General features: G+C 29.3%; 1 protein-coding gene across 2 annotated transcripts in view; it reads right to left on the bottom strand.

The window, feature by feature from the left end:
* Positions 1 to 12113, bottom strand: part of PCDH10 (protocadherin 10) — a 59313-nt gene that overhangs the window by 32332 nt on the left and 14868 nt on the right. The window lies entirely within an intron of this gene.

Genomic DNA, 12113 nt, shown 5'->3' with positions numbered 1-12113 from the left:
GTTGAAACCTGGCTGACTGATCCCATAACTCGTGCTCTTCACCACATTGCTTCTCTGATGTGAGAACATGTACAAAGGTCACTCATAAATCCATAGTAGGCTATAAGTTCAAAGGAGGTAAAGGTATACTTGGAGAACAAAATAAAAATGATACCTTCTAAAATTAAAAATGACAAGTTATAATAAAGTCAAAATGGTAAAATTAGTGATGCTTAGGGAAAACCTATTCTGAAAGCAATAAGAATAGGGTATGTTTCAAGCATGTATTTACTAAGTATACCACATCCAACCAGGTGAGCACGTTGTGCTTCAGGCACATTTTAAAGCTGAAAACTTTTCAGGAGTAATCCAATATGCCTAAGGTTGGTTTACTCATTGCTAAAAATCTCAAAGGAAGACTGTTGATTTGCATAAGGTTTGGAGAAGGGAAGGAGGATACAATCATTCAAAACACTTTTGCATTTTTTCGTGTTTTGCATTTTTCAGTGTCTCCAGGATGACCCTGAGCATATCACACTGAGATAACCTGATCGGAGTATTTTTATTTGTGCAGTAGGTACAGATCACTTAACATGAAATGAGGATGCATTGGGCCATGTGTGGTCACTAGCAAGTAAGTTGATCTAATTCCCTTTACATTATCAACCAGAGTTCTGATAGTATTTTTATTTTTCCTATGGCGATCTCTTAAGAGTATTTCAGTTTATTTGGCTATTATATTGGTATTTTAAATTAAGATAATAATCTTATTTCCATATATCAGCCTGTAATGAGTTCATGAAACATAAGCATTTTCCTATACTCCAGGCCACGAGAACATTTCTATAACCTAGTTCTAGGCCAAACAAAACTGAAGACCACTGTGCTTGGAAAACAGTTGTGCCCAACAACGAGTTTTCTTGAATGTAGGTCACACTGTTCTTGTCAGTAGCTTGGGAAGACTTGCTTAAAGCAGTTGGTTAAAAAGTTTTTACAGTTTTAAATTGTTATGGTGCTTCTTTACAATAAATAATACTACTAAAAATAATAGGGCCAATTGATGTCCCTTTGAAATTAGAGAGGAAAGTAAGTTAAATGAGAAGAAACTTAAAAGATTAGAAAAAAGAACACAGACTTAAAATTAACTTCAAAACAATATGATATGCCTTTGTAACTACTTTAGATGTTTCCTTGAAAAAAATAAAGGTAATCTTTCTCTATATTGGATATATAAGCACACTTTTTATAAGCATTATGAAAACAATTTCTATAAAAATTACTACAAAGAGAGTGATTTACATTATCAAGGAATATGTTACTAGATTTCAAGCTCAATTTTTTTTTTCAAGCTCAATTTTAACTGTGAGAGGCAAATATTACATTATTCAATGTTAAGTATTTTCTAAAAATAATTCTAATATAAGCCTGAATTTTTAATGTTTGTAATAATTTCCATAGGAGTTAATATTATGTTGTTATAACTTGAGAAATAATTATCTTCACATCACTCCATAATATAACTTAAAAGTATAGATTTCCTCAATCATTAGCTTAATTCAAGCTCTAAGAAGTTAGAATTCACTCTAATCCATCAAAAAAGGCATTTCTAAATTGTCTAATACCAGTCATTTTGCCTATATAAAATTACGTATATTTATATAATAATATAAAGTATTTATAAATTGATTCTAAAATTATTTAGCCTATTTCACAGGACATAACTGTGATTCTTGACAGAAGAGAACTGTCACCTTGTAACAATTTACAAAAGTGATGTCTTTATTTTGTCTTATTTCATTTACTCATGCCTATAAAATGGACACTCAGTAGGTAGTTACTTCTGTTATTATTAAATTTAGTATTAATGTTTAGCCAACATAAGTTTTCCATTTGATTATTTTCTCTTTCATTTTATTTTTCTGAAGTGTATGACTAATTCATGCTTCCACATTACCAAGCTAGGATATATTATAATTTAATCTCCAAATATCAACTCCAGATAGAATTATATATGGCATATAAGATCTGCTTTCTATATCTTCCAAAGTGATGAAGAAAGCATGTATTACTTCTGGGTTTAAGGGTAGTAGGCAATTATGACTTTGGATGATTAATAATAGGTGTTTCATTTTTATTTAATTGTCAGCTGTTCTATACTAACTGCCACCATGGATTGCCTTAAACTTCAATAGAGGATGACGTGATACCAAAAGTGAAAATTCTCATTCAAGCCAATCCAGTAAAGAGAAGACTCAATATTAGACAAGGTTAAGATATTTTTCATCTAGAGTAAACTGACTTCGTTGTATAATAATAGCTTAATGTGTAAGCTATTATTACATACAATATGAAGTTTTAAACCTGCGAGTTATGATGCATACTTTTTAATACACACAATCTATGGTATTTATTAGATGTGTATATATTTGACATTTTCATACTCAGCATTTATACTCTATGCATCTCCCCAAATCTCTTTCTAAAACTACAATATCTTAATATTTGTTCCTGGACATTTCATTCTCCATTGCAATTCAACATGTGAGATGACAAAAAAAAAAAAGACTTTAAGAAACTAAATCTTTTTCCTCTAAAAAATTCCAAAGAAAGAAAAATAAAAAGTCATTCCCAGAGAAACAGGAAGGGAGGGAAATGAAACCAATGCTTTTTCAATTGTCTCTTCTTCATCTTCAAGTAAATTGAACCTTTCCCTCCTTTGCTAGATGCAGATGAGGAAAGGCATTTCATGGGAAAATACAATGCACAGCTAGAACGTGATATTTCACCAAATCACAGATGGCATACGTATATAGTTTATAAAGCTTTCTAGGTAAAATGTTTCCATATCCCTCAGGAGCAAGAACCGATGTCAAGGTTAGGATATTTCCTGTAATGTGGAATTTAAATCTCACAGGACTATATAGATACATTTCCTCTTTTCTGCTCTCCATAAAGACAGATTAACTGATTACCATCTTATCTATATAGCATTTGTTTAAATGCTTAACATTTATTATGTCACCTCTTTACTTTTCCTCTCAATTCAGAATTCCTTGAGCCATTTAAACTCTCTTCAGATACGCCATTTCTCAAAATGTTAATCTCTTTACTCTATTTAAAATTTCCTTTAAGCATCATAGTCCACAATTTGTCACAATCTTCTAATCTGCGTTCAAAGAAAAATGAAATACAAACACCTCAATTTTTCTACTCTTTTGCTATTAGATGGTATTCAAGTTAGTATATTTAAATATTTGTTTCTATAAAAGCCACTAAGTTAACAAAGGATTAAGTTTCAATCAATAAGAAAGATATGAAGACAAGTATAAAGCATTTCTGATAGACTAGCCATAAAGAGAACTCCAAAGATAGAGAAATGATATCCAAGGAGAACACTGTATTTTCCAAAATGATGAAGAAAGCATGTATCACTTCTAGGTTTAAGGATAGGAGGCAATGGGACTTTGGATAATTAATACTAACTAAATTGTCTCTTTGCTCACACACTGGTATTTATTAGGCTCTGCAGATGGTTTTCCCTATATTATCAAGGAAATAACTGTCTGTTAAATTTTAGTGGAACTCAAACATACTCCATTATTTTTCCAATTATATAAAGTTGAAACCCCAGAAAAACTAATTTTTGGTTAGAGACTAGGATAGTAGTAATGCTTTGGGTGGTAGTAACTGTAAGTGGGCAGAAGAATGGATTTCTTGACATACTACAGTAGTAATATTTTGGCTACTGGACAAATATGTGGTAATGTTTTTGTAACTATACAGGTGTACTCATTTTGTAAACATTTCTTGAGTTATACATTTATGATTTTTGTACTTTTCTATATGCATATTATACCTTGATTAAAAAATCTTAAAATAAAAAAACTGCTACCTGTAAAGCTGATTTCAGTCATGAATCAAATCAATTGGGAATATAAATAGTATATGTGAGAAAATTATGGAAATTTAAATAATAAGTAGATAACCAATGATAGTAAAAAAATTATTTTTAAGAAGAAATATTGCTCTTGTGGTTATGTCAAAAACTTTATCTTTTACAAGCAAAGTGTAAATATTAATGGATTAAACAGTAGAATCCTTCTGGATTTGCTTTGAAACATCTGAACGAAGGAGCAGTTGTATCAGTGTTTGGATGAAACATGTTTGGTCAAGAGTTGTCATGTTCAAGCTGAGTGATGGAAAACATGGAAGATTTAGTACACTATTCTCTCTACTGTTGTATGCTTGAAAGTATTCATCATTTAAAAAATATTTTAAAATATTACTTATGAGAAGGCTCCAGATTCTGTATAATATTGTCCTCTGTTACCACTTTTTTTTAATAAAAAGATTGAGGTAAGTAAAGAATCAGGATAAAGCTATTTTATGGCCTCTAATGTAATCATCTGATATGCATTTCTAAAGAAAATAGACCTAAAATCTGTACTACTAGTGACTAACAAGGCAATTAATTCTGGAATCAGAACTAGGTTATTAATGGTGAAAATAATATACAAGAATTTTATCCTAATTTTTCAGGTCAGCCTCAAGTTTTCTATACATTTTCTAAGTATACAATGTCTGGCAACTGCCAAGCTGTAACATTAACTCTCTTATCTATAGACTTATTCCTACCATTCAAATTAAATCTACCTGTGAAACATTTAAGCTTACATACACCATCAGGTATATATCATCATGACAAATTTATTATATCTATTTTGTCTACTGTTGCCATTGTTGACTCAGAACTTTCTACTACATGTTGCACTTTAAGAAACAAACCCATATGTTTTGTTAGAAGAGGAGAGCACCTCTATCTTGACTATTTCTGTATCCAAGGTGATTCAGAATTTAATCCAGAAAATATGTATTTAATATTGATTTTAGTTATGTGTTACTTCTATGCTTATGTCTTGTTTAAAGAAACTTAGTTGAAAAATATGATGAAAACATTTTAAAATATGTTTTTATGGAATAAAGTGGTAATTTTCAGCCCAAATATAGTGACTGACATATAGATGAGCCTTAAAACACTTGGTGATAAATTAAAGCTAATTTTCTAGTTTGTGTAAAATATATGATGAATATCAAACACAGGTAATATTGGAATCTAGTGTAAGATTCAGGCCAATCTTAAGGTGGGGAAAACGTCCTACTGACTACAACATTTTTACTAGCAGTTAAAAATACTGCCTTTCTCATAATACATAAACACTAGAACCAGAAACCTGTTTCATCTACAGTGTCATAGTTTTTTTTTTTGCTATACTTAAGCACTGTAAACTTAACAATCAATACCTTAAAAAAAAAATAGACTACCTGGGCGAGGTGGTTCGTGCCTGTAATCCCAGCACTTTGGGAGGCCGAGGCCAGGAGACAGAGACCATCTGGGCTAACAGGATGACACCTCGTCTCTACTAAAAATACAAAAAATTAGCTGGGTGTGGTGGCGTGTGCCTGTAGTCCCAGCTACTCGGGAGGCTGATGCAGGAAAATCGCTCGAACCCGGGAGGTGGAGGTGGCAGTGAGCCAAGATCGCACCACTGCACTCCAGCCTGGGTGACAGAGAGAGAGACTTCATCTCAAAAAAAATCAAAAACAAAAAGAATACACTAAAATGAATTGAATCATGTATCTGTTTCTCAACAAGCACCATACTGTCATGTTAACAGCTTCTGATAATAAAGTAGCCATTAGTTAAATACATTGACTCCTATGTTGCACATAATCAAAGTCTGTTCGATAGATATAATTAAAAATTAAATTTAACTGATTAAAAATTTAATGATTCTATATGGGATGTAAATGTATGTGAGTGTATCCATACCACTGAATCACGAAACCAGAGCATATAAAATGTATTTATAATCCCTTGTTGAATGACTTAAAGTTATCATTGATAATTTAAACTAACACTGTATTGTGTAACAGTGTATATATATATAGACACTTTACCAAAGTTAATTTCAAATATTGTCTCTTCATACAGTCAAAAGAACTGTATCTCTAAGAGAAAGAATATGGGTAAGTGCCTTGCTATTACCATACATAATGTATATACATGATGCTATATAAGGTACGAGTTATAGAATCATAAATAAAATCCTAATTTTTATCTGCAACATTTCTAGCTTATAATTTGTTTTTATCTATGTCTTTTGGTATGTAATTACGTTTTGGGAGACAAGGTTTTTGAATTTCCTACACTCTCCTCACCTAAATTGAAGTAGGTCAAGCTTTACGGTGACTAGGAAGTCTTATTGAAACTCAATACAAACCTAAAATATTTTGTTACACTCCAGGAAACATTAAAATGACTCACATTATGCTGAGTTTAATCTTAATTCAGTAATATTATTTAAACTTGAACAGTGAATCTCAGTGTTCGAAACAGTTTCTAATCTATATTATCTAAATGACATGATCTAATTTCTATTAAAAGGATTGAAGATGACGAAGACTCACCCAAAAAATGTCTGGCACATTGAGTACTGAATAATGTTTAATGATATTTATAGGCAAATGAATTTGTAGATTCCAGACTTATTTACAATATCTTTATAACTTAACACATTCAAATTTTGACTCATAAATCTTCAGTATGATGAGGCAGGAAAAAATTCCCAAGTAGATATTTCTTTTCATTGAATAATTCTATTTATATTTTAATTGATAGTCTTATTTTGTTAAGCTCATATGATGGACAAATGCTTACACAGTTTTACATCAATGTACAAAATAAGAAAGAGGATGAAAACGATATGTAATATAAAATGAGGTATATAAATAATGTTAATACGCTAAATGTTAATTCTAAGAAGTCCTAAATATGCGTGAGATAAACTGCTTTGAAAAACAGTTGAAGAGTCATACTAAAGAACTATAAAGTATTGAATAAAAGTGGTGTAATTAACTTTGATCGATTATGTTTTCTCTATATGCCCTTAAATGACAATATTTTACTTAACCATATATCTGTGAACTCAAAAATGTAATTTTAAAATGCAAATAAATAAATCCTACATAGGAATTAAATAAAGAAAAAAGTGACTAAACTAGAGGAAAATATAAAACTATTAGCTTTATAAAAAGATGAAAGATGAGAGCTAACATATTAAGCTGCTAGTAGACAAAAGAAAGATGGTACTGCAGATGGGGAAGAATGGGGTGTAATTAAAATTCTAAAAGGGTTAAGAAATATGAAACAATTTAACTCTGCCTTAGGATATGAAATAAGTTCTTAGAACAAATCAAAAGAAATTTAACATCTCAAAGTCCTGAAACACTCCATGATATTTTACACAAACGCCCTAGTTGGGTGCATTTCAATAGCTTGAATTAATTTAAATTCTACTTCCCTATGTAAAAATCTGTAGGTGTAGCTAAAAAAGAGTATAACTAATTAAAACATTTTTTAAAAATTAGAAGAAAAGAATAAAGTTTGCTTGGAGGTATCAACAACTGAGTGTGTGCATAAATGAATGAATAAATAATGACAACATTAATGAAATTTTGCATACTTTAAAAATGCCCATTAATTCATTTTTCATCACATAATTATTTAGCATTTATAATATGCATAGCTGGATAATGAGTCTAAATATGCCAAGGGAGTAATTGTATTGGGAAGAAAAATCGTAGTAGAGCTGGAGCAGATTTTAGCAAAGTTAATAAATGGTGAGAAAGCAGTTGCAAAACATAGTACTTATAATTGTGTAAGTTTTGAATATTTAGAATATAAAGGTTGGGGTGAACCACAGGTCAAATTGTCAAAATAAAGTCAATTCAATTTGAAGTCATTAAAATGGCACTTTTAAATATTACAGATAATTATAAAGATAAATATATTGATAAAAGAAACTATGAAATTGTTCTTTAACTGGGGGAATAGAAATTTATTGGATGAAACTAGTTCCAAATTACCCACAGGCACAAATTTTAAATGACTTGAAATAAGTCACAGGGAAGTACTGATGTCTGAGTAAGTAAAAAAAAAATTGCTTACAGAAGTGACCAGATATTTATATATAAAACAACTGCTGTGTTTCATATCTGCACCTCAGATTTTTATACCTTTCACTTTAAATTCTACTAGCTGAGATAGACGACTATACAACAACTAAAGAAAAAGAAAAAATATTATAATATCTCATGTATCTAGTGTTACAGAGAAGTTCCCATCAACTGCTGCATCAGTTAGTTAACTGGAGGAATAACACGAACTATGAATAGATGACCATTTTTTCAGAGAAGTAGAATAAAATAAAATTCACCAAATACAATAAAATAAGTAATATTTTTAAAATAAGTAGCATAAAATATAATAAAATTCAGATAGAGAAAATGAACAGGGTTCAATTTTTTTTCTGATGTCAAGTTACCATTTGTTTCCTATTCATGGAGTTGAAGTGACTAAACTTTTTGATAATGCCAGATTTATTCATAATTCCTGGATAAAGGAATTTAATGAAAAAAATATAATGACTAGTATATTTCTAAGGCCATAAAACTGTCCCAAAGAAATAAACTGAAAAAGTGAGAAAATTAGGTTCACCAATCTGTATGTATATAAAAGAGTAAAAGAACAGGAACAACAAAAAACCCACCCTCAGAAACAGAGTACACATAGTAGCACAACATGGAAGAGAACTAATCAGAAATTAACATATCAAGTTAAAAAGAAAAAATCCTACAAGAGAGGTCCATTCATTTAGCGGTGTATGGGCCTATATGAAAGCAAGGCCTTCTATAAAAATATTTATTTTTGGACTTTGACATTGGATAGTGAGAGTATATTTAAGACATTAGAGGAAAACACAAATCCTAGAGAAAACACTATACAGAGGTACATAAGTATGAAGGTAATGTGTATCTATAAGAAAAGTCATTTTATTTTGAATTCTATGTACGCTCTTACTGCACTACTGAGTTCAACAAATTATGAAAACTCACAGAAGGCAGGCTGAGATAATGAAGGGATTGGAAGAAATGTTACTAAACAAAACATGTTCTACAATTTCAATCAACTAAAAACTTGAAGTGCACATAGACATAATATAGATGTCTAAAAATTTCCCTCAAATAAAGTTTATTGATAAAAGGTCTAGATAAGTTTTAGCAGTATTTTAAATGCACTGTTTTAGAAATTTATTTTTTTAATCATCATATGGGTGCGTCAAGTTGAAATTTCAATAAGATTAACAAGTTGGCAAAAATAAAATTAGGTCAGGAGACAACCAGAATGATTTTTAGTATACTTGGACTAGTCTAAATGTTGTATAATATGAAGGCAAGATGGGCCATGAAAATAAATGGTTCCCTTTAGACTCTAGAAAGCTCCATTGATTTAGAAATTCAGTCATTATCATGCAGCTTTTTTTCACTTTATTCAGTTCAATTTATCATTGTATGACAAAGAAATATTTTCACAAGTATATTTTGATGTAATTGTATTGAGTTTCTTATGATTGTCTTCAATTTTTAGGAATTGATTATGTTTATTGGCAAGAAATCAACAAGTATCCAAATAACACATACTTACGCCTTTATTACTGTATAGTTTAAGCTGATAGGAACTGAATTTCATGTTCATTTACTGACAAAAATCTTAAGAGATGGTGTTCAAAGTATAAAGCCAAAATCATAAGCAGGAATGACTACAAAAATATTAAAGTGTTTTAACTAGTAGGGTTTTCTGAAATTATACTAATAATATAACTTTTGTCAATTACATTCTTGACTTTATATTCATTTTATATTTTTATTTATGGAGATTATCCAGATGGTTTTACACATAACTTACTGTGCCATTTGAAAGACTGAATCATTTAAAATAAGATGTCTGATTCTAAACAAATCCTTAAAATGTTCATGATAAAAATGCAATGTTATTTTAAAACTCCAGAAAATATTTTCTTTCATTTTAACATGATTATTTAAAGTGCTGTAGGCAATTATTAATTTTAATTAAAAATGAAATGGTATTTTTGTGTTTTTAATTATGCTAATGAAAATTAAAGGTAAAGTAAAACTGAAATTCATTAACATTTAAGGTAAATCTAAATACGGCATTTCTGAATATATGGCCATGTTCTACCTGTTTAAATTTATTTACTCAATCTTTGAGTGTATCCCTTTGCTCCATATCAACTTAGCAAACTACAACATTATAGGAAAAATAAGAGAAAGCAAGCTCAGAAAGTGCTCATGAATAACTCAGCAAGTATTGAATGATGTGTTCAAAATTATTCCTGATTTTTAAAAAGTCTCCTTTTATTAAATACATCATGTATACTCTTCATGGGTCTTTTGTTAATACATTAAAATAAAAAGAAATGTAAGTGTAAGCATATTTTTAAGAACATGAAGTACATTATTTAATGTTTGCATCCATCTATTTTTGTGTAAAAGTTGTTTTCTTGCAGTTTTTAGTTTTAACTTTAGCAATCGGAGGTATAGAAATCAAAAGTTATTTGTACTGACATTGATCTCTTTTGTATTTTTAAGCATATCGTCATTTCCTTGTCATTATTGTATAAATGACAGTGACAGTCTCATTAGGCTTTTTAGAGCTTTACAAAAACATAACTAAATATACTGCTATTTTTCCTAACATCAAAATGTACATTATATTCATTATGAAACTGCATATTTAGCAAAAAAACTCTACAACTTTAATAATTATTCAAACATTCTGATTAAAAGCAAGTAGTGTCAATTTTTAGCTTTTTTAATTATGCAAGGGACTTACTTTAGACTTAGAAGATGACACTATTTCTATTCTGAATGAAAAAGGACACAAGTATCAAAAACTATCACCATATGAATTTGAGGGGCAAAATGGTCAGGAATAGTTTTGTTTTAGAGTTTGTATTATCAGACTAACTATAAATTTTTTATGATTATTAAGTCAGAGTCATGGTGTAATTTTAAATATAATTGGATGACTCTAAGATGACATTAAATACTAAAAGTTAAATTAAAAAAAAAAACCAGTCTAGACATGATTAAAGTCGTATGAAGAACTAAGAAGAGCAGAAGTGAAAACAACAAAATAGCTATTCTTCTGCAAATTTTCCACCACAGGTCACACGTCAACCCAAACCCTAAATTTTGAGCCGTGTGAACTGGCTAAAACAGATTAGGGAAAAAAACTACAATTAAAAACTAACTCATTCCAACATATGTATATTCATATATATATGAATATATGTATGTATATATATATGTGTATATATATGAATATATGTTGGAATGTGTTAGTGCATATATATACACATATATATGAATATATGTGTATATATATGAATATATGTATATAATGAATATATGTGTATATATATGAATATATATATAAAATGAGCAAATAATTAAAATTTTCCTGGTGAAATAATAGATGCATTCTTTTGATTTTTAGCAACACACATAACTGTTAATAAATTTCATAATCCCTGAATCAGATTTCTAAATGAAAGACCAGATTCTTAAGAAATAGAAAAATTTGCATTAAAATATATGCAGCATTAATATTTTAATAATAAAAATTGTTTCCATTAGTCTTATTAATAAAAAAATCCAGTCAGTAAAGAAAAGACATCTGTAAATGTTAAAAATTCCAGGTCTATGTGTAAGTGTAATTTCACCAAGATTAGTACTCACTAAGAGCAAAAGAGGGCAAGTTGATTTTCCCACTATATTTGAAGTAGATTTACCTGTTATTATATGGTAAAAGCAAATATTTGTATTTATTTAGAAATGCAAATTTTTATTAATCTGAATCATATACCCTTCACTTTTTGCCTTGAAATGATTAATAATGTATTTCTATAATGTACATTCTTAGTTTAAGTGAAACAGTAGTTAAATATGCTGTTTAAAATTTGGAAAAGTTTTACTTTTAATAATAAATAAAATTTTGAATCCAGAATTCAATTTCAGAGGCAAAGATCGCATCATGTTCCTCACTTATTAAAGTTTGATTTTAGGCTATTTTAATTCACTAGCATGTGTGGATTTGTGAGTTAAACTTAAGACATTAGCATCCAAATTGCATTTTAGACATCTCAATATTTCCTGTCTTTAAGTATTTGTTCTCTCTTTGTATAACTTTAAAAAAATAAAGCAAAACAAAT

This window comes from Homo sapiens, chromosome 4 (assembly GCF_000001405.40).
Source record: "Homo sapiens chromosome 4, GRCh38.p14 Primary Assembly".
NCBI lineage: Eukaryota > Metazoa > Chordata > Mammalia > Primates > Hominidae > Homo > Homo sapiens.
Note: the sequence above shows the minus strand (reverse complement) of the source record. Positions and strands in the feature narration are given on the sequence as shown.